Genomic DNA, 25,124 nt, shown 5'->3' with positions numbered 1-25,124 from the left:
GGGCCCTTTACAGCTAAAGTTACTGGGAACAGGAGTTATCATGGCCCTTACGGTCCCCCGGGAAGAAGAATGGAGACTTTTTCTAATCTAGCCAGGCCGAGAGACAAAACCAGCTCTAGCTAAGTGATGGCCCCGAGTATGGACAGAGGATAATCCTCCGGGACTGGTGGTCAACCAAGCCCCCGTACTCATAGAAGTTAAGCCTGGGGCCCAACCAATTAGACAAAAGCAGTATCCACTTCCCAGAGAAGCTCTCGAAGGAATCCAGGTTCATCTCAGGCGCTTGAAAGCCTATGGAATTATAGTTCCTTGTCAGGCTCTGTGGAACACCCCCCTCCTGCCTGTCCATAAGCCAGGGACAAAGGACTATCACCCAGTACAGGACTTGTGCCTGGTCAACCAAGCTACAGTGACTCTCCACCCAACAGTTCCTAACCCTTACACATTGTCAGGGCTGCTGCCGGCTGAGGACTGCTGGTTTACCTGTCTGGACTTAAAAGATGCCTTCTTTAGCATCAGACTAGCTCCCGACAGCCAGAAGCTATTTGCCTTTCAGTGGGAAGATCCGGAGTCAGGTGTCACTACTTAGTACACTTGGACCTGGCTTCCCCAAGGGTTCAAGAACTCCCCTACTATCTTCAGGGAGGCCCTGGCTCGAGACCTGCAAAAGTTTCCTGCTAAACACCTAGGCTGCGTCTTGCTCCTGTACGTGGATGACCTTCTGCTGGGACACTCCACAGCAGTCTGGTGTGCAAAAGGGATGGATGCCCTGCTTCGGCACCTGGAGGACTATGGGTATAAGGTGTCCAAGAAGAAAGCTCACGTCTGCAGACAGCAGGTACGCTACCTGGGATTCACTATTCGGAAAGGGGAGCGCAGCCTGGGGTCAGAAAGAAAGCAGGTCATCTGCAGCCTACTGGAGTGATGAATAGAGCAACCTAGAACCAGAAGGCAAGTAAGGGAATTCCTAGGAGCTGTGGGGTTTTGCAGATTATGGATTCCAAACTTTGCAGTACTAGCCAAACCTTTGTACAGGGTGACAAAGGGGGGTGACCGGGAGCCTTTTGAATGGGGGCCTCTACAACAGCAAGCCTTTTGTAAGTTAAAGGAAAAATTTATGTTGGCCCCAGCCCTAGGACTATCAGATGTGACAAAGCCCTTTACACTCTATGTGTCAGAAAGAGAAACAATGGCAGTTGGAGTTTTAACCCAGACTGTGGGGCACTGGCCAAGGCCAGCGGCCTATCTCTCAAAACAACTAGATGGGGTTTCCAAAGGCTGGCCACCACGTCTAAGGGCCCTGGCAGCAACAGCCCTGTTAGCACAAGAAGCAGATAAACTAACCCTTGGGCAAAACCTGAATATAAAGGTCCCCCATGCTGTGGTAACTTTGATGAATACCAAAGGACATCATTGGCTAACAAATGCTAGATTAACCAAGTACCAAAGCTTGCTATGTGAAAATCCCCACATAACTATTGAAGTTTGTAACACCCTAAATCCCGCCACCCTGCTCCCAGTATGAGAGAGCCCAGTCAAGCATAACCATGTAGAGGTGTTGGATTCAGCCTATTCTAGCAGACCTGACCTTCGGGACCAGCCATGGGCATCAGTAGACTGGGAGTTATATGTGGACTGGAGCAGCTTCATCAACCCACAAGGAGAAAGATGTGCAGGATATGCGGTGGTAACTTTGGATGCTGTCATTGAAGCCAAACCTTTGCCACAGGGCACTTCAGCCCAGAAGACTGAGCTCATTGCTTTAACAAGGGCTCAAGAACTCAGTGAAGGTAAGACTGTAAACATCTACACTGACTCTCAATATGCCTTTCTAACCCTCCAAGTGCATGGAGCATTATATAAGGAAAAGGGCCTGTTAAACTCTGGGGGAAAGGACATAAAATATCACAAGAAATTCTACAATTATTAGAGGCAGTGTGAAAACCTCAGAAGGTGGCAGTTATGCACTGCAGGGGACACCAGCAAGCCTCCACCTCAGTGGCCTTAGGAAACTCTCAAGTTGATTCAGAAGCTTGAAAAGCAACATCTACCCCTTACTGGGCATCAGTAGCAGCCCCTTTACTCCCTCAAACACCTGACCTGGTACCTACCTATTCTAAGGAAGAAAAAGACTTCTTCCATGCAGAAGGGGGTCAAGCAATAAAAGGAGGATGGATCAGACTGCCAGATGAGAGGGTAGCTGTGCCACAGTTGCTGGGAGCCACAATCTTATTGGCCAGGCACGAAACCATGCATCTAGACAAGAGTCACTTGAAAAGTTGTTAGGCCGGTACTTCTAAGTCTCACACTTGCCAGCCCTTGCCAAAGCAGTAGCACAACAGTGTGTTACTTGCTGACAGCACAATGCGAGGCAAGGCCCCACTTTCCACCCAGCATACAAGTTTATGGAGCTGCTTCTTTTGAGGATCTTCACAGAAAATGCTTTTGAGGATTTCACAGAAATGCTGAAATGTGGAGGTAACACATATTTGCTGGTTCTTGTGTGTACTTACTCTGGGTGGGTGGAGGCTTATCTAACACGAACTGAAAAGGCCTACGAGGTAACCCGTGTGCTTCTCTGAGATCTTATTCCTAGGTTTGGACTGCCCTTATGAATCAGCTCAGATAACAGGCCGGCGTTTGTGGCTGTCTTGGTACAGAAGACAGCAAAGGCATTAGGAATCACTTGGAAGCTATGTGCCACCTACCGACCTCAGAGTTCTGGAAAGGTGGAGCGAATGAATCGGACTATCAAAAATAGTTTAGGGAAAGTATGTCAGGAAACAGGATTAGAGTGGATACAGGCCCTTCCTATGGTATTGTTTAAAATTAGATGCACTCCTTCTAAGAAAAAAGGATACTCCCCTTATGAAATACTGTATCATAGGCCTCCTCCTATACCACGGGAGCTTCCAGGCACTCCCCAAGAGTTAGGTGAAATTGAATTACAGCGACAGCTACAGGCTTTAGGAAAAATTACACAAACAATCTCAACTTGGGTAAATGAGAGGTGTCCCATCAGCTTATTCTCCCCAGTTCACCCTTTCTCTCCAGGTGATCACGTGTGGATCAAGGACTGGAACAGAGCCCCTTTGCGGCCATGGTGGAAAGGACCTCAGACCGTTATCTGGACCACCCCCACGGCTGTAAAGGTAGAAGGAATCCCAGCCTGGATCCACCACAGCCATGTGAAACCTGCAGCCGCTGAAACCTGGGAGGCAAAACCAAGCCTGGACAATCCCTGCAAAGTGACTCTGAGGAGGACGACAAGCCCTGCTCCAGTCACACCCGGAAACTGGTCTACACATGGCTGAAGCATGAGGAGAATCATCATGGGACTCATTTTTCTTATAATTTGGACTTGTATAGTAAAAACTTCCACTGATATTCCCCGCAGGGAGGACTGCTCTCAGTGTATACATCAGGTTACTCGAGGTAAGGCAACAAGTTAAAACAATCTTTCTGTTCTATAGTTACTATGAATGCTTAGGATCTTTAAAAGGAACATGTTTATATAATGACACTCAGTACAAAGTATGTAGCCCGGGAAACGACAGACCAGATGTGTGTTATGACCCCTCTGACTCTCCCATGTTCACAGTTTTTGAAATAAGATTAAAGACTGAAGACTAGTGGGGACTCCTAAATGATACAAGTAAAGTGTTAGCCGGAACAGAAGGAAAAGGGGTGCCTAAATGCATAATATTGAAATTTGATGCCTGTGCTGTCATTAATAGCAATAAGTTAGAAAGGGGATGTGGGTCTTTTAGTTGGGAAAAAGGCTATATGACCGAAAATAGTACATTTGTCATGAATTAGGACTGTGTGGAAATGAATGTGGATACCGGTCTTGTGTCATTTGGGCCACTTGGATAAAAAATGAAAAGGATCCAGTCCACTTTCAGAAAGGGAAAAATGGCCCTTCCTGTACTAAGGGACAATGTAACCCCTTAGAGCTGGTAATAACCAATCCCTTGATCCTCGCTGGAAAAAAGGGGAGCGTGTGACCTTAGGAATCGACGAGGCTGGACTGGATCCTTGAGTAAATATCTTGGTTCAAGGAGAAGTTTCAAACACTCTCCTGAACCAGTGTTTCAAACTTTCTATGATGAACTAAATGTGCCAGTACCAGAAATTCCAGGAAAAACAAGAATTTGTTTTTGCAATTAGCCGAGCATGTAGCCCAGTCTCTCAACATCACTTCTTGCTGTGTATGTGGAGGAACTGTAATGGGAGATCAATGGCCATGGAAAGCCCGAGAATTAGTACCTACAGACCCAGTTCCTGATGAATTTCCGGCTCAAAAGAATCACCCTCATAATTTCTGGGTCCTAAAATTCCCAATTATTGGACAATATTGCATAGCTAGAGAAGGAAATAATTCACTCACCCTGTAAGACGACTTAGTTGTCTGGGACAGAAACTGTATAATGGTACCAAAAAAACAGTCACTTGTTGGAGTTCAAATCACACAGAGAGGAATCCATTTAGTAAATTCCCAAAGTTGCAAACCGTATGGACCCACCTGGAGTCCCACCGGGACTGGACAGCCCCCACTGGATTATACTGGGTAAGTGGGCATAGAGTTTATGCCAGATTACCTGACCAGTGGGCAAGTAGTTGTGTTATTGGCACTATTAAACCATCTTTCTTCCTAGCCCATAAAAACAGGTGAACTCCTGGGCTTCCCTGTCTATGCGTCCCACAAAAAGGGAAGCATAGCTATAGAAAATTGGAAAGATGATGAATGGCCCCCTGAGAGACTCATACAATATTATGGGGCTGCTACTTGGGCACAAGATGGCTCATGGGGATACTGGACCCCCATTTACAAGATCAACCAAATCATACGGTTACAAGCTGTCTTAGAAATAATCACTAATAAAACTGGCAGAGCCTTGACTGTTCTGGCCTGGCAAGAAACTCAGATGAGAAATGCTATCTACCAAAATAGATTGGCTCTTGAATACTTGCTAGCAGCTGAAGGAGGGGTCTGCAGGAAATTTAACCTTACTAATTGCTGTCTACACATAGATGTTCAAGGGCAAGTAGTTGAAGACATAGAGATATGACAAAACTGGCACATGTGCCTGTGCAAGTGTGGCATGGATTTGATCCTGGGGCCATGTTTGGAAAATGGTTCCCAGCGCTAGGAGGATTTCAAACTCTTATAATAGGAGTTATAATAGTAATAGAAACCTGCTTACTGCTCCCTTGTTTGCTACCTGTACTTCTTCAAATGATAAAAAGCTTCATCACTACCTTAGTTCAACAAAATGCTTCAGCACAGGTGTACTATATGAATCATTATCGACCTGCCTTGCAAGAAGACATGGGTAGTGAGAAAGAAAGTGAGAACTCCCACTATTGAGTGAGATTCTCAAAGCCGGGGAATAAGGGAGACCACCCCTCATATTGTCTTATGCCCAATTTCTGCCTCCAAAGAAAGAAGAAGTAAAAACTAAAAGGCAGAAATGAAATCCACAAGCAGACAGCCCGGCACCACACCCTGGGCCTGGTAGTTAAAGATCGACCCCTGACCTAATTGGTTATCTTATCTATAGATTACAGGCATTGTATAGAAAAGCACTGTGAAAATCCCTGTCCTGTTCTGTTCCAATCTAATTACCTGTGCATGCAGCCCTCAGTCACATACCCCCTGCTTGCTCAATCGATCACAACCCTCTCAAGCAGACCCCCTTAGAGTTGTGAGCCCTTAAAAGGGACAGGAATTGCTCACTCGGAGAACTTGGCTCTTGAGACAGGAGTCTTGCCGATGCTCCCAGCCGAATAAACCGCTTCCTTCTTTAACTTGGTGTCTGAGGGGTTTTGTCTGCAGCTTGTCCTGCTACATTATATTCTAGCTGCTCTGGCAGGTGATTAGATGGTGCCCACCCAGATTAATGGTGGGTCTGCCTTTCACAGCCCACTGAATCAAATGTTAATTTCTTTTGGCAACACCCTCACAGACACACCCAGGATCAATGCAATCAAGTTGACACTCAGTATTAATCATCACAAGTAAGTTTAGATATTGAGAACTAATAGCACCCTCGTATTTGTTTCCTACATACAAATGATAAATGTAGTTTTAAACATTATTGCCAATTTTCATTAAATTCATTAACCAATCATTCTAAATGTTTTATTTACCATAGACTATTAATTCATGAGACTCACTTTTATCAACAAAAGGCAAGGCATCAGTTATCATTTATTAATTCAAAGTGTTCTCTGTAGAGATTTTCAGAGATGGTATGGTTTTTTCTTAATATCTGCTATTATAATTTTAATAAAATTTAATATCTAAGATGTGTTAATTTCAATGCTTCTAAACTTGGCCCCACTTTTTTTTTTTTATCAGAAGAACCAAAGAAACCAAGAAATCTTCATCTGAATTTGATCGTTTGCTAGAATAATAATAATTAGGAGACTTTGGGAGAGAGAAGACTTTCCTTATAAATGAACATTTCAAATATAATAATGAAATGACTATAGCATTAGCTATTTACACTTCTTAGAATATATATATATATATATATATGTACTTTTTGGGTGATATATTAAGTAGCTATACATGTTTATTCTCTAATGGCAATCTGATGGCAAAAGACACAAAAGAGTTAAGGAATAAGATTCCAAAACTTGCAATAAGCCAAGGAAGATGATGCACAAAGTAAGTATTCTTGTGACACGTAGCAGCTGGTGCCTTTAAAACCACACCAAGTCCATACGTGAAGTTCCCAATCATGGCCAATGCAAACAGCAGAAATGAAGTTCCTTCCGTAGATCTTCTTCAGAACTAACAATAGAAGCAAGGATGACAGTAGTTGTTATTTTCTCTTCACTATACAGTACACAGCTTCACAAATCACCCAAGTTTTAAATTGTATTTCATTATCATAAATATCTTCTGATTGTAAAAAAAAAAAGTTTCTTGTACAAATGTTGGAAGAGGTGGAAAACATGAAGGTTAAAATAATATCACCCATAATCTCAACACTCAGAAAATATTCTGATTCATTTCTTTCTTTTTATGCAAGGTACATGACTATACACAGTATACATAATATTTTGTTATATCCTTTTCTCCCGTATTATATATTATAATAATTTTTGCATGTCATTAAAAATTATTTATCAACATTTTTAAATTGCTCCAGAATATTCCACTGTATTCAGCATTTGAGTTGTCCCCAAACTTATAGATGGCATTTTTACAAATTCCTCAGTACATACATATTTCTCCATCTTTCTGGTAATTTCCATAGAATTGATATCTAGATGTGAAATTCATACTTTTAAGGATATTGACGCAAACCGTCAAAATGTCTTCCCGAAAGACTTTTAAACATCTACTCAGCAGTGTATGAATGTGCAAACAAACCCTATTCTTATCAGCTGTGATTCCTGTAATTTCTTTATATTTGCTAATTTATAGACTAAAAAGTTGTTATTTTATTTCACATTTATTTAATTCCTAGAGAAGTTAAATTATTTTTCATGTTTGTTATTTTTCATGGTTTTTTTTTCTTTTTTAGAGAGAAAGTCTTGCTCTGTTGCCCATGTTGGAGTGCAGTGGCACAATCTTGGCTCACTGCCACCCCCACCTCCTGGGTTCAATCAATTCTCCTGCCTCAGCTTGCCAAGTAGCTGGGACTACAGGCGCATGCCACCACGCCCGCCTAATTTTTTATTTTTTATTTTTTGTATTTTAGTAGATATGGGCTTTCACCATGTTGTCCAGGCTGGTCTTGAACTCCTGAGCTCAGGCAATCCACCCCCCTTGGCCTCCCAAAATGCTAGGATTACAGGCGTGAGCCACTGCCATTTCTTCTTTTTTTAATTATCCATTTTTGAGTCCTATGTAAATTTTTATATAGGACTGTTTTTTCCTTTTGGTTTATGGAAATTCTTACTAACATTCGGTTCTTTGCCATATGTGCTTCCTATCTATTTTGTATGTTTTGGTTTTATACCTATATTTGATGTACAGACATTAAATATTTATAGTTAATTCTATAAATTTTTTCCCTTATCCATTTCTCTTAAGATTCAAAAGTACTAAGATATAAACATTTAAAATATTATCTATGTGTGATAATGATAACAATTAGTATCCTTTTAATCATGCAGTCCAGTACTGGATTGGGAGTTAGTAAATGTTAATCTACTGTGAAGCTGCCTCTTGGGCTCATTTTTAAGGCAATTCTGAGGGAGAGACTATAATATTCTCCCCTGAAAAAAGTACTGCTTGCATGAAGCTTCTTTATTCAATGTCTGTAGTGTACTCCCTTGTTGATGACTGGATTATTTATTCTTCTACATATTACCTTTTGCAATACTTCATTTCAAAATATTGACAAACATGTGAGACTATTTTGACCAGATGGAAACTCAAGTGAATGAATTAGAGAAAATTACTCTTTTACTCCCATTAAACATTCAGAAATTCAGTTAGAGTTTTCAGTTTCCAGGACCTTTGGTAAATAAAAGAATATACTATTGGAAATTCGAATAAACCGTGGGTGGTTGAAAATTCAGAGAGATAAAGTACACATGTACACGTTGGGTCCCTTCTAGGTTGCCACAATGAAGTATATTAGTTGCAAAGTGCAAGGGAATCATGTCTTTTTCACAAGTTGAACACAACCACAACATCCATGCCAAATGCTTTGCATAATTTATTGTGACTTCATTACTCTGCCATTAATATGCAAACCCAGGAAAACAGATTTAGACAACAATTCCAGCTGATCTAAATTCTGCTGCCTAAACTTGAAGGAGCTTAACAAACAAACAAAAAATTGATCAAGAATCGATTCTTGTGACTTTGACTTCCATATTTTGGTCCCAAAAGCACTACTCAGAATTCCAAGATCTCTTCCAAAGGTAGACACAAAGTCATAAGAAGCACTTTTGATTCATCAGAACAAACAGAGCAAATAACGTACTTACATTTCTATATAGTTGGGGAAATCGAGATCCCAAGTAGAATACACAAAATACATAGCCACAAATAAAGCCTAACATTTCAACTATGCCAACAGCATCCTGAAAGCAGTAACATAAAAAGATTGATAGTATTAAGGATCAATCTAAACATACATTAGAATCTAAATATTTTAAGGGAAATGGAAGGTCATTGGACAAAACTAGGGTGGAAGTATTTATTCTCTGTAGCCTTGTTATTTTGGAGGCCAATGAATATTAATCATCTTTCTAGGATGGGTGGTATTCCCTAATCAAGTAGTAACATCATTTATTCATGCATGTGGATATGCTAAGCTGCTTTGAATAATGGCACTTAAGATTTGGAAAAAATAACTTCAGTGTAAGTGTATCTATGGGGTTTCCATCTGGATTTCTGGTTCAACCCCACAGAACTCTTTCTCTGAGTACCTGCCTGTAGATGGGCCAAGTGGGCAGGTTCACCAGAAGAATGGGTCTCTTCAGTCTGGGTCAAGCCTTTCTGCCCATCAGCCTGCATCCCAAAAGGAAAGAAGGTGCTTTCTGGATTTTCAGGAACTTACTGAGCCCCAGTCAATTCTAACATATTAAAGCACACTACCAGTGCAATCCCAAAGGATTGAAGTTTCTTAGAAGTTTTTCTAAAAGTTAATAAAAATTCTTTCTTGTATTTTTTATTGGGAGAACATGGAGAGAGGTGGGGATTGAGCCCTGGCATTCTGTCATTTCATTTTTGAAATAAAATACTTCCTGGACTAACCTCAGCACTTCTACAATATTTTTGTGGAGGTTATAAAATTAACAACGAAAAATTCTGCAAAAATATTTCTAAAGTGACCAAAAAATGGATATAAAACAAAGAGTTGATGGGCTTTTCAAATAAAGATTACCTTTTTTGCTTCTGTTGAAATCTCATGTTGATTCTTCATCAAAAATAGACTTGGTATTGCCACCGACAGCATAATGCACACTGGCACCCAAGTCACACATAAATTCTGCAGGCTTCTACTCCCTAGTGCTTAAAAGCAACCAGGGCAATGGTGAACAACTGCCACAAGCTGCTGAAATGATGTCCAATGGCACACATATTTACTGCAGCTAAATACCCCTTATCTGGTATTTAATCTCCAGAATACTTGAGTTTTCAGAATGGTTACACAACAAACATCATCCAGAAAAAAATATGCTGTTTAGTTAGAATTCAAGATCACTAAGTGCATCTGAGAATAGGATAACCACAGAAAGCACCTGATGGACGGTTGTGATTGGCTGGATCAATTGTAGGAAAGGAAAGTGCTACTTTAATTGCCCAGTTACACATTTACAAGCTCGATGCATCCATCTTAGTGCTGACAGGCCTTGGGAGGGAACAGCAGACAAGAAAGAAGAACACTGCAGAAATGAAGCAGGACGATAACACAGAATAGGATCAGAGGAGATTAAAAGTGGTGTCAGTGGCAACAGTAGCCAACAGAAATTAAAGGCAGCAACAGGGAGTGTGATTCAGGCCTCTGAGAGAAGGAGAGAGGAAGCAAAAAGCCCTGAGCTTAAGACAGATAAAAAGCAAGGAGACTATGAAAAACCCAGGCACCACTGGAACATGCCAAGCAGGTTTCCAGAGATATGGAAGAGCAGTCATTTAATTGACAAACTCTTACTAAATGCCTACATTCTTAGCAACCAAGAATGCAAAACTAAATAATTTATGCCCCTACTCCAAGAGACTGTAAATTAAATCATTACATCCTATGGATCTTATTTCCTAAATCTGCATCTAGATGACTCAAGGTTTAAATCAGCAGAGCCAGGTCAAGGTACATTTTGGAAAGCTCTCTGAGGAAAAAATCAAAAAGCACCTGATCCATAACTGTTAAATACACAGAGCAGAGTGACTCATTCTCCATGGGCAGTGGCTGGCTATGTTCTTACTCTATCAGTTAATGATAAAAGCTTGAGAACTTCCAGGAGTGGTGGTCAAATTGAACACTCTCATTCAGGAAGCTAGGAAACACTGGGATGAAGAATCTTAGTAAAAGTGAAAGAAAAAACCAAAAACCACAAGCTAACAAACATACAAAAGTCTATGTTTAAGTAGGAAACATGTCTCCTTATAAACCAGACAATCATCTACCATGGGTTGGTAGGGGCAGGGTAGGTCCATGCAGCTTTAACCTCTATATTCTATTTTTAATTTCTTAGTTATGTTGCATCCGTACCAGGGTTAGCATCAGCAGACATCAGACACACAGATATCTGACTGCAACATTCTGGCTAAATCATTCCCACTTGTTTAACATAAAAACTGATGAAGCATTTATTTTAAAACATTTGTAGAGTTATAACTGCAAAGGTAGGGCTCATGGCTTCTCATATATTACAACCACATGTTAAGACAATAGACTTCAATAAAAAATTACCTTCAGACACATTTTATATTTGAAGGATTTGCTTTATCCCTCAACATTCCAGGTTGGATAGCCCATCGAGCACATGTTCCCTGGTGAAACTTAATTTTTTTTGAACTCTGCATTGACCCTAAGTTTAACAGCATTCCAAATTCAGTCTACTTTGCCCACAGAAGATATTGCAGCTAAGCAAAACTCTGTTCCAGAAATCTCATAAACTGTGTGAGTTGCTCAATTTAGCCCTGAGGGAGTAAATTGAAGAGAGCTGGGCTGTCATACTGTTTTAGACTGTTTGCCACAGAAATTCAGGATTAGTTCCAGATAGATTAAACTAGTTATGGTGGTGACTATTTATATATATATGTCCCTTATCTTAGTGACCTTTTACCAAATGGCTCCTTTATTTTAGTTCTTGGTGCCATTATTTAGTTAATATACTTAAAGTAGGTTTGGTGGGGGTAGCGGGCAACACAGGGGAGGGAACTGATTGTGTGCCCTTTAAGTACCAAATGCTTTACTGGAGATTTCCATATATTTCACAATTCATTCATTCCACCACTATTTGCCGAATGTCGGCTACGTACTCAGTCTGGAAGAAGATTGAGACAGTCCCTGTTCTTATAGAGCTTATGAGTCACATGACACCAATTACACTGTAAATCAGCTTGATATATACCTCATATCACTTTAGGTTGATTTTGAAATCTAATCCCTCTACCAGCTGGCTATGTGACCTCAGTCCAATTTGTGGATGCCTCGATTTCCTCAATTGTATAAATGAGTTTGCCATGGAAAATAAGCGAGTTCAAGGAGCACATATAAAAGGTCTTTCACCATGCCTGGTACACAACTGGGGGTCATCTTCCTGCCTTCCCCACTCTAGTATCCAGTGGGATTTGTATTTGATTTGTAGATTTGAGTAGCTGTTCCCACCCTTGTAATAGTTACAACCACCAGGGGGCAGTAGAGAAATACGCTCCACCCATCCCAAGGGGAAAAATGGAGCCACTCTCATAGGTACATAGCTAAAAGCAAATTTCATTGTTGGGCTGGCTCATAAATACACACGTGAAGAAACAGTCATTTAAAAACACAGCAGACAAAGCAAAAATAAAAATAATATTCAGTTATTCAGCAAATCTATATTGCAGGCCTATTCTGCACCAGCCTCTGAACATTAAAATAGTGCCTGTCCCAATGGGCGATATGAAGATTAAATAAGTTACAATGCGAGTGACAAATGGTAAGCACTTAAAAACTATTTGTGGCTATTATCCTGTGGAGGATATGTTTTTAGATTAGCCACAAGAGAAAAGTGGTACTGCCTATCACCTGCAGGAACCTCTAAAAGCATTTGACTATTCCTGCCAATCTCTCTTTCCTTTTTCTGATTAATCATTTCTGTTTATTTTCCAATAACATAGATGTGTTAATGTGTCCAATGACACATACCAATTAAAAAAAAAGGTAATAACATGGAATCTAAATATGCCACATCTGAAAATTCTCAAAGGACTCACTTAGATGGTTGAGAGAAATGTTATGTCTTATCAAAATACGCCTTACTCATTAAAAATAACTCGAAAATGCTCTATCAGTTTTTAAATGAGAAAATGTTCTATTACAGACAGAAGTATTTGAGTGAACTATTATCAATCTTACATTTTTTTCTTCTGATTCTTTAACCTGTAGTACATGAATTGTGAGAGTATGATTACATCCGTGTTCATGTCGAAGATGGCTGTAAAAATCTGGAGTGGTAGATAAAGATGGACATCCATAAACATAAAATCCAAGGCCACCATTATGCAATATATATAGGATAGTGTATGAAGGTGACAAAGTCATTTACATGATTAAAAACATTAACAAAGTATTCTAAAAGGTTACAAATATTCCACTTTATTTTTTTCATTTGAATACTACTGTAGAAATATTTGTCTATAGCCACTGACTATATTTTTAATCATGACTCTCATTGTAAACTATGTGTCAGCAACAGTGGATTATTGTTCAACCTTAGTATAGAAAAGAATAAGAATCCGCTAATGGCAACATATCATGTTCAGCTACCTTGAGGCAAGAAAATATTAAAACTGTATGAAGAAAAGGAATTAAAACTGGATGTAGACTTTAAAAATATATCTGAAAACAGACAGACTTCTATTCTACTATAAAAAAATTTGCCACATTAAGAGGGTTGTCAGACACAGAACACTTATGCAATATTTAGAGCAGGTCTATACTAAAAAAGTATTTGTTGTTTTTCTGAAATCCAAATTTGACCGGGTATCCTGTATTTTGTTTGCTAAATTTGTCAACTCTACACATGAAGCCCTCCATACACACATAACCCAGAACCTTCACTGTTTTGAAGATAAATCTGGAGAAACTTTTACCTGAATAGGCAGTTGGTTAGTCAGGTAGCAGCCTTTGAAATTTGTCAGGTCTCCACCTATCCAGCAATCCAGAAAACCCAGAGAGACTGCTTCATCCACTCTTCCATTTCTGTAGGCTACAAAGAGCTGACTGGAAAGTGACAATAGACAAATAAACACTTGGAACACAGAACTTAATGAGCCAACTCAACACCAGATAAAAACAAAACCAATGATGTACAGCAATAAGACATCTCATTCACTTCCATTTAAGCCTCTAGGACTCTTTTTAACCCGTCTTCATTCATAGCACAGAGCAAACATATCTAAAACCTAAAAGAAGCTCAGTGACAATACTAAAACATTAATGCCTTTTATCTCGCCTTTTATATTTTCTATTAGAATTTATATATATGTCCTAAGTACATGTTTATTCTTTCTTGGCCTCATAGTGGGGGAAGATATTAAGTCATGTAATTAGAGAGAATAGATATATCACTAAAACATAAGAATAGTGTTTATCAGTGATTACATTTTCAAAGCCAGTATCTATTTTTTCTTTTAAATCGACTTCTAATCAAGTTGCCCACATGCAGGTAGACAGGTGGACAAACAGATAAATTAATGTGAAAATCTATTTGGCTCCCTACGATGCCAGCACTTATGCGGAAACATTTTTAAAAATCTTGGGTCCTGGGATCCAAAAGACCTGAAGACATGGCTTATCACCTGTGGGACATCAGACAATTACTTAATCTCTCAGAATCTCACTTTCCATATCCATAAAGTAAGATTAACTTTTGAAACCAGAAGTGTTTATTGCAGGAAGTTGACCAAGGTTTGGCTAAATGATGACCATAAGCCACCAGTGGTAGAACTGGGAATCAGCCTAAAGCTCCTGACTCCAAATTTATAATCTTTCACTACCACATATACTAGCTAAAAGTTAATATTTCCAGAATTCACATCTGAGACCATAATCCCACTCACATCAATGCTGAGTTATTCTTCCATTAAGCGGTGGTATATATACCAATGTGACTTTCAAAAGACTTTTGTTTATGTTTCAGATTTCCAAAGCATCTGAGGATTGACTGTATTCTCTACCTTTTCCCAGTACTTTATAAACAGATGACCTATCTATGCACACATATTTTACAAATTCCTTTGAGGCAGCTCTCTTTTGCTTGAGATTTTTTTTCCAGGGTAGATGTAGTTGGTATCTGACTTCTAGTTATAAATAAACTTAGCAAGAATGGAAAACTTTCCCCTGTAGGACTAAACTGCTTGGATTTTTTTAAAAAAATTATCCCCATGCCCAGAAGAAAAGAATAGCATAATGCAATATCTCACCAAAGACTATTTAAATTTTTACTCTTATCAAAGAACATATTGAAAAGGAATTCAACATAGGATGGTGAAGAGGTAAGGTACATATGCTTTATTGCCTTTCTGATTACTAAATATAAAAGATTTGTATATCTTAATTGAGAAAAAAGTAGTCAGTATAATGTATTAACCATCTTTCTGTTATATTCCAAAATGTTTTAGTGATGCTTTTTAGCACCTTCAAAATATACAATACAAAGAGAACATTTGTTCAATAGCAAGCCCAAATAGTTTGAAAAAATACTTAATATAGAAATATTTAAACATTTTTTTAAATAAGAAATTATGAACAAGAGTGTTACACTATAGACTTGAAATCCAAGATTCTTAACTTATGAGAGAGCAACAAACAGAAAACAGACAATAGAAACCAATTCTATAATCATGCTACAGTATTCCCAGGAGTTGGACACACATCTTGCAGGAGATGCCAAATCCATAAAGTCCCAGTCACACAAATCTTCCTGTCCTCTACTGAGGAGATACGCAGTTGCACCTGTGATTCCATAATTAAAGTCTGGATGGTTGATGTTGCTGGTTCTTGGAAAATGCAATTTAATGTCAGAAGGAATCTTTCCTTTTAAAACAATGCTTTGATTCATACTGAAGTTGGCTACAAATTGTTTTCAAATCTGTAAAAATTAAATGTAAAAAAAATAAATATTGTGTAATATTTTTTCTTAGAAAACATTGTTGAAAGAAATTAAAGAAGACTTAAATAAATAGGAAGACATTCCATATTCATGAATTGGGAGACTTAATATTGTTAAGATGGCAAAACTACCCAAAGTAATCTACAGATTTAATGCAGTTCTTTAAATTCCAACTGCCTCTTTTACAAAACTGCACAAGTTGATCCTAAAATTCATATGTAATTGCAAAGAATACCAAATAGTCTAAACAACTCTGAATAAAGAGAATAAAGTTCGAGAAATAATACTTTATAATTTCAAAATGTATGACAAAGATAGTAATCAAAACAGTGTGGTAATGGCATTAGAAAAGACATATAGATAAACGGAATAGAATGGAGCATCCAAAAATAAAACCATACATCTATGGTCAATTGATTTTGACAAGGGAGCCAAGACCATTCAATAAGGAAAGAATACTTTTTTCAACAAATAGCAGTGGGACAACTGGATAACTACATGTAAAAGAATGAAGTCGAACTCTTACCTCACATCACATAAAAAAATTAACTCAAAATAGATAAAAAGCTTAAATTTGAGAATCTATATAACTCTATAAAATCTAGAAAACATAGGGATAAATATGTATGAGCTTGGATTTGACAACAGATTCTTAGACATGACCCCAAAAGCACAAGCAACAAAAGAAAATATAAATTAGACTTCATCAAAATTTAGAAGCTTTTGTGCATCAGAGAACATTATAAAGAAAAGTGAAGAGCCAACCCACAGAATGAATAAGACCTAGCATTTGATAGTACAACAGGGTGGCTATAGCCAACAATAATTTAATTGTACATTTTGTAATAACTAAAAGAGTATAAGTGGATTGTTTATAACATAAATGATAAATGCTTGAGGATATGGATACCTCATTTTTCATGATGCGAGTATTACTTATTGCATTCCTGAATCAAAGTATCTCATGTACCCCATAAACATATACATCAATTATGTACATCAATTAAGTAAAAAATAATACAAATTAAAAATTTTAAAAAAGATCACAATGAGACACAGTATAATTGTCAAATTCAAAGACAAAGAATGAGTTTTGAAAGCAGCAAGAGAAAAGAGTCATGTCCAAGGGAGCCCCCATGAGACTATCAGTGGATTTCTCAACAGAAACCTTGCAGGCCAGAAGGAAGTGGGATGATATATTCAAAGTACTAAAAGGTTAAAACTTCCAACTAAAAATATGCTATCTGACAAGGTGTCCTTCAGAAATGAAGGAGAAATAAAGACTTTCCCAGATAAACCAAAGCTGAAAGAATTCATCACCATTAGACCTGCCTCACAAGAAACGCTAAGGAGAGTCCTTCAAGTTGAAATAAAAGGATGCTAGAAAGCAACATGAAAGAATATGGAAGTATAATACTCATGGGAAAAGGTAAATATATAGACAAATGCAGAATACTGAAATACTGTAATGATGGTGAATAAATAACATTTAACTCTGGTATTTAATTAAAAAAATAAAAGTATGAAAAATAAATATAACTAAAATGTTAATAGATACACAATATAAAAAGATGTGATTTGGGAAATCAATAATATAAAGTATGTGGGGTAGTAGAAGTAAGATAATACAGTATTTGTATGCAATTGATGTTAAGGTTGTTATCAACATAAAATAGATTGTCATAAATATAAGATAGTTTATGTAAGTCCCATGGTAACCACAAAGAAAACATCTATAAAAAGTACAGAAGAGAAAATAATCAAAATGTGCCACTTGAAAAATAAAATCAATGAAACACAAAGAAAGATAGGAGGAGACAAGGGACAAAAATCTACAAGATAAACATAAAATAATTAATATAATGTTAATAATAAGTACTTTACTATCAGTAATTACTTTATATATAAATGGATTAACCTCCTCAAATAAGCCATAAAGTCACTGAATGGATTTTGAAAAAAGATTCAACTATATACTGTCTATAGGAGACCAATTTTAGATTTAAGGACATGCATAGACTGAAAGTAAAAGGATGGGAAAAGATAATCTGTTTAAATGGTAATTGAAAAAGACCAGATGTGACCATAGTTGTGTCAGACAAAATAGGATTTAAGTCAAAATCTGTCATAAGAGACAAAGAAGAACAATATATAACCACAAAAAGATTAATTAATCAAGAAAATAGAACAATTATAAGTTTGTATGCACCCAAATCAGAGCATCCAAATATATGAAGCAAACATTGACAGAACTGAAGGGAGAAATACTTGTGCAATAATAGTAGGAGATTTCAATACCCCACTTTCAATAATGGATACAACAAACCTGATAAAAGATTAATAAGGGACAAGACAACTTGAACAAGTCTATAGACCAACTGGACCTAACAGACATATACAGAACATTCCATCCGAGAGAAGCAGAATCCATATTCTTTTCAAGAGCACACAGAAGATTCTCCAGGATGAATCACCTCAGATCACAAGCAAGCCTTAACAAATTTAAGATTGTAATCATACCAAGTATTATTCCCAACTACAATGAAATGTAACTACAATACAATAGCAGAAGAAAGAACTGAAAAATTCACAAATATGTGGTAACTAACATACTGCTGAATAACAATTGAGTCAAAGAATAAACCAAAGGAAAATTAGAAATTACCTTGAGACAAATGAAAATGGAAACACAACATGCCAAAATTTATGGGATGCAGCAAAATCAGTACTAAGAAAGAACTTTTATGCCTACATTAAAAAAAATCTCAAATAAACAGCTTAACTTTACACCTCAAAAAAATTAGAAAAAGAAGAACAAATAAAGCCCCAAGTTAGCAGAAGGATGAAAATAATAACAATTAGGAAAAAATAAATTAAATAGCAGAATAGACAGTAAGAAAAAATCAACAAAACTAAGGATTTCTTAAAAATATTAACAAAATTGACAAACTCTTACTTAGCAAGACTATAAAAAATGAGAAAACTTAAATAAATGAACTCAAAAATAAAAGACATTGCAGCTGATGTCACAGAAATAAAAAAGATTATGAAAGACCACTATGAACAATTATATGTGAATGAATTGTCTAACTTAGAAGAAATAGACAAATTCCTAGAAATATACAACCTACCAAGACTGAATCTTGATCAAATATAATACAAGACTATACCTACAATAAGTAGGGAGTTTGTATCGGTAACCAAAAACTTGCCAACAAAGAAAAGCCCAAGACCAGAAGGATTCACTGGAGAATTCTATTAAACACTTAAAAAGTTAATGCCAATCCTTCTCAAACTCTTGTGGAAAAAAGCATTATCCCAAGTGAAATAAAGCAGTCACAAAAGCACAAATACTGCATGATTCTACTTATATGAGGTATCTAAACTAGTTAAACTCATAGAAGCAAATTGTCAAATGGTGGTTACAAGGGTGTGAGGAGGGGGAAGTGGAAAATTGCTGTGCAATGGATATAGAGTTTCAGCAATGCAAGATGGAAAAGTTCTAGAGATATGCTGTACAACAATGCACATATAGTTAAAAATACTTTACACTTAAAAATGTATTAATAGGGCTAATTTTATGTGAGGTGATTTTTACAACAAAAAAAATAAATAAAACATTGTGAGAGTGAGAAACAGAAATTATAGTTCAGAGTTCTAAAGAGGAGGAAGCTCCAAAAAAGAACTCCAGAAATCTGCACATAGGTTACCTGTGCCTTTGGCTGAATAGGAAGGCAAAGTAGGGCAAAACTCCTTTAAGTCAGGCAAAAAACAACTACCAGGGAGAGAAAAGCTACCGGGGTACTATTAACAGAAAAACTACTACGGCTCACACAGGACTAAGAGACATTTGAGTTCTGAACAGGCAGGGGAAAGAGATTATTTAGAAGACAAGAAACATTCATAAAGCACCCAAAAAGACTGTGCCTTCAGAGTAAGGGTAAACAAGCTGTAGAGGCTATGCTAGACCCACTGTAACACAGTTTAAAAACAAGCCTTAAAATTATCAAACTTATTTTCAAATAAGGTAGCTGCTTGCCCAAGTAAACACCAATACTCTTAAAGTTTTCAAGGAAGACTGTCACATTGTTGAGCATAATGTCCAGCATCCAACTGAATATTGAAGACATGCAAAGAAGCAGGAAAATGTGTCCAATAATGAAGAAAAACAAATTAGTCAATAGAAACAGACACCAAAATGATAGAGATGTTGAAATTAGCATGCATTTAATTGTTATAGATATATTCCATATGTTGAAGAAGCTACAAGAAAACATGAACATTGATATGGTTTGGCTCTGTGTTCCCACCCAAATCTCATCTTGAATTGTACTCCCATAATTCCCACATGTTGTGGGAAGGACCTGGTGGGAGATAAGTTGAATCACGGGGACGGTTTCCCCCATACTGTTCTCACGGTAGTGAATAAGTCTCAAGAGATCTGATGGTTTGATCAGGGGTTTCCACTTTTGCATCTTCCTCATTTTCTCTTGGCGCTGCCATGTAAGAAGTGCCTTTCACCTCCCACCATGATTCTGAGGCCTTTCCAGCCATGTGAAACTGTAAGTACAATTAAACCTCTTTTTCTTCCCAGCCTTGGGTATGTATTCATCAGCAGTGTGAAATTGGACTAATACAGGAAATTGGTACCAGTAGAATGGGACATTGCTGAAAATATACCCAAAAATGTGGAAGCAACTTTGGAACTGGGTAACAGGCAGAGATTGGAACAGTTTGGAAGGGTCAGAAGAAAAACAGCAAGATGTGGGAAAGTTTGGAGCATCCTAGAGACGTGTTGAATGGTTTTAACCAAAATGCTGATAGTGATACGGGCAATAAGGTCCAGGCTGAGGTGGTTTCAGATGGAGATGAGGAACTTTTTGGGAACTGGAGCAAAGGTGACTCTTGTTCTGTTTTAGCAAAGAGACTGGCAGCATTTTGCCCCTGCCCTAGAGATTTGTGGAGCTTTGAACTTGAGAGAGATGATTTAGGGTATCTGGAGGAAGAAATTCTAAGCAGCAAAGCATTCAAGAGATGACTTAGGTGCTGTTAAAGGCATTCGGTTTTATAAGGGAAGCAGAGCATAAAAGTTCAGAAAATGTGCAGCCTAACAATGTGATATAAAAGAAAAATCCAGCTGGGCATGGTGGCTCACACCTGTAATCCCTGCACTTTGGGAGGCCAATGTGGGTGGATCACCTGAGGTCAGGAGTTTGAGACCAGCCTGGCCAACATGATGAAATCCCGTGTCTACTAAAAATAAAAAAATTAGCCAGGTGGCGTGGTGGTGGGCGCCTGTAATACCAGCTACTCAGGAGGCTGAGGCAGGAGAATCCCTTGAACCCGGGAGGCAGAGGTTGCAGTGAGCCGAGATCGTGCCACCACTGAACTCCAGCCTGGGCAATAAGAGCAAAACTCGGTCTTAAAAAAAAAAAAGGAAAGAAGAAAAATCCATTTTCTAAGGAGAAATTCAAGCCAGCTACAGAAATTTGCATAAGTAATGAGGAGCCAAATGTTAATCCCCAAGACAGTGGGAAAAATGTCTCCAGGGCATGTCAGAGATCTTCACAGCAGCACTTCCCATCACAGGCCTGGAGGCCTAGGAGAAAATGGTTTCCTGGGCCAGGGCCAGGGTCCCTGTGCTGTGTGTGGCCTAGGGACTTGGCGCCCTGCATCCCAGGCACTCCAGCCATGGCTGAAAGGGCCAACGTAGAGCTCAGGCTGTGGCTTCAGTGGGTGGAAGCCACAAGCTTTGGAAGCTTCCACATAGTATTGAACCTGAGAGTGCACAGAAGTCAAGAATTGGGGTTTGGGAACCTCCACGTAGATTTCAGAACATGGAAACTCCTGGATGCCCAGGTGGAAGTTTGTTTCAGGGGCAGGACGCTCATGGAGAACCTCTGCTAGGGCAGTGCAGAAGGGAAATGTGGGGTCAGAGCCCCCACACAGAGTCCCTGTTGGGATACTGCCTAGTGGAGCTGTGAGAAAAGGGTCACCATCCTCCAGATGCCAGAATGTTAGATCCACTGACAGCTTGCACCGTTTGCCTGGAAAAGTCACAGACATTCAACACCAGCCTGTGAAAACAGCTGGGAGGAAGGCTTTACCCCGCTAAGCCACAAGGGCGGAGCTGCCCAAGACCATGGGAACCCACCTTTTGCATCAGTGTGACCTGGATGTGAGATGTGGAGTCAAAGGAGATCATTTTGGAGCTTTAATATTTGTCTGCCCTGCTGGATTTCGGACTTGCATGGGCCCTGTAACCACTTGGTTTTGGCCAATTTCTCCCATTTGGAACAGCCGTATTTACCTAATACCTGTATCCCCCATTGTATCTAGGAAGTAACTAGCTTGCTTTTGACTTTACAGGCTCATAGGTGGAGGGGACTTGCTTTAGATGAAACTTTGAACTGTGGACTTTTAGGTTAATGCTGAAATGAGTTGAGACTTCGGGAGATTGTTGGGAAGGCATGATTGGTATTGAAATGTGAGGACGTGAGATTTGGATGGGGCCAGGGTGGAATTATATGGTTTAGCTCTGTGTCCCACCCAAATCTCATCTTGAATTGTACTCCCATAATTCCCACATGTTGTGAGAGGGACCCAGTGAGAGATAATTTGAATCATGGGGGCAGTTTCCCCCACACTGTTCTTGCAGTAGTGAATAAGTCTTGTGAGATCTGATGGTTTTATCAGGGGTTTCTGCTTGTGTATCTTCCTCATTTTCTCTTGCTGCCACCATGTAAGAAGTGCCTTTCACCTCCCACCATGATTCTGAGGCCTCCCCAGCCATGTGGAACTTTAAATACAGTTAAACCTGTTTTTCTTCCCAGTCTTGGGTATGTCTTTATCAGCAACATGAAAAAGGACTAATACAAACATGGTAAAAAAAAAAAAAAAAAAAAAGTTAAAAGTAAGATTTTGTAAAAAGTGTACCATAAAATACAAATCATAAGAAAAATAAGTTGGCTATAATACTCAGAAAAAGTAGACTTCAGAACAATAAATATTACTAAAGAAAAAAGAGACATTTTATAATGATAAAGAAGTCAACTCCTCAAGAAGACATAGCAATACTAATTGTCTATGCACCTAACATAGAAACTTGAAATATATGAAGCAAAACTGAAAGAATTAAAAGGGGAAATAAGACAAATCCAGTACTATATTCAGGATTTCAATTCTTCTCTCTCAGTGATTGATGGAACAGTGCTGTTAGCTAACTTCTTATTGACTCAGCAAGGATGTCTTCTTAACAAACAGTAGTGTAGAGAAGGCACAAAAAAACCCTATCAACCAGCTTGATCTAATTGACATTTATAGAACATTACACACATTATAATGTTCAGAGGATACATTCATTTCAAGTAAATGGAACATTCATCAAGAGAAATCACATGATAGGGCATAAAACTAGTTTCAATAAATTTAAAGTATCACAATAATACAGATTATGTTTTTTGGCCACAACAAAAATAAATGAGAAAGAAATAACAAAAGATATTTGGGACATCTGCTTTCAACAGTGATAAGTTGGGATTACATTCACCGTCATGCCTGAAATCACAAAATGGACAAAATATATGAAACAATGATTTAGGGGCATTGGACATCAGGCAATGAAGAACAGAGAACCCAGAGAAACCTCAAACAAAGGAGGTGAATGAACCCTATGATTACCCTAACTTATTGCCTGGAGAGAGTCTTAAGGTTGTGTTACAAATATTGGAAAGCCAGGATGTCAGGAGATCGCCCTGAGGAGAAAGAACTGGGAGTTCAGGGAGGCCACAGAGCTAGAGTTTGCAGAATAGAGTACCAGCAAGGATAGAACTGCACAAAGAGAGACCTCTGGACAATCCCTCTCAAATCATCAACTAAATACTTATCAGTATATCCATGTAAAGGAACTACCTAAGATCAAGAGGAAAAACATCCTAAAAGATTAGAAGGAAAACTCTCTGGATCTCCAGCAGAGCCAGGACTAGTGCCTGTTTTCACTATTCAGACTGGAAAAACTAATAACTCACAACACATTGGGTAGAGTACTAAGAAAAGTTTTGCCTTAATAGTGAGGCAAAATTAGGCCCATACAAAAAACTGCTCCCTGTAACATCAGGAACAAGGTGAGGAAATCTGGTCTCACCACTTCTATTTAACATGGTAACAGAGGTTGGAGTCAGGGCAATAACACACAAAAAAAAAGAAATTAAAGACAAACAGAATGTAAGGAAGATGTAAACTGTCTTTGTTCACAGACAATGGGTTTGTTTCTCTCTGAAGGAAAACTTACAGAATCTATGAAAACACTACTAGAACTAACAAGTCAGTTTAGTATATTGCAGGGTACAAGATCAATATATAAAAATCAAATTTTATTTTTACACACCAGCAACAAATAATTGAAAATTGAAATTAAAGTATCAATATCTCTTACAATAGCATGATTACAAATGTCAATCCACAAATTCAAGAACCAAAAAACTGCAAGCAGTAAAATAAAAGAAAACCATACTAAGGCATATCAAAATCACAATGCTACAACCCAGTAATAAAAATAATAATGAGAAAAAATCTTAAAAGCTGCCAGGAAAAATAACAACAAAAAATAACCCAGATACTTTATACACAGAGAAACTTCCATCCATACTTCATACTCTATACAAAAATTAATTCCAAATACCTCACAGGCCAAATGTAAAATCTAAAACTATGAAACATCTAGAAAAAAAACACAGAGTAATAAATTTGTGATGCTGAATTAGGCAAAGATTTCTTGGGTAAGACACCAAAGCACAATGTAAAAGAAAAAAAAGATAAATTGGCCTTCACTAAAACTAAGAACATCTGCTCTTTGAAATACTTTCAACAGAGGGAAAAGACAAGCCATAAGTTGGGAGAGAATATTTGAATAATCCCATATTTAATTAAGAACTTGTAGCCAGAATATATAAAGGGCTCTTAAAACTCAATAATAAAAAAAAATTGTAAAATGAGCCAAAAATTTGAACAGATACTTCACCAAAGACATATGGATAGCAAATGAATGTAAAAATAAGCTCAACATCATATAACATTATAGAAATGCAAATTAAAGCCACAATGAGATACAACTACCCACCTCTTATGATGTCTAAAATTAAAGACTGATCATACCAACTCTTGGTGAGGATTTGGAACATATGACACTCATACCCAACTGATGGAGTGTAAAATGTTTCAAGTATTCAGAAAAAAGGCTGGCTTAAAAATATAAATAAATAAAGCAGGCTGGGCATGGTGGCTCACGCCTGTAATCCCAGCACTTTGGGAGGCGAAGGTGGGTGGATCAC

The 25,124-nt window shown here is 38.1% G+C and overlaps 1 pseudogene across 4 annotated transcripts in view; it reads right to left on the bottom strand.

Annotated features, from left to right (window-relative positions):
* Nucleotides 1-25,124, bottom strand: part of SLC66A1LP (solute carrier family 66 member 1 like, pseudogene) — a 57,783-nt pseudogene that overhangs the window by 16,014 nt on the left and 16,645 nt on the right. Inside the window, exons 3-5 of one of the 4 annotated variants that reach the window (NR_166164.1) lie at nt 13,775-13,904; nt 13,038-13,126; nt 6,181-6,802 (exon numbers count right to left, since the gene is read on the bottom strand). The product of NR_166164.1 is annotated as a solute carrier family 66 member 1 like, pseudogene, transcript variant 3 (transcript). Of the gene's footprint in view, nt 1-6,180; nt 6,803-13,037; nt 13,127-13,774; nt 13,905-15,179; nt 15,775-25,124 lie in introns of those variants that run through there. The other 3 variants (NR_166162.1, NR_166163.1, NR_024016.3) reach the window with 3 other exon arrangements.

The sequence above is a fragment of the Homo sapiens genome, chromosome 3 (assembly GCF_000001405.40).
Source record: "Homo sapiens chromosome 3, GRCh38.p14 Primary Assembly".
NCBI classification, from domain to species: Eukaryota; Metazoa; Chordata; class Mammalia; order Primates; family Hominidae; genus Homo; species Homo sapiens.
This window is presented reverse-complemented; position numbering and strand designations above follow the sequence as displayed.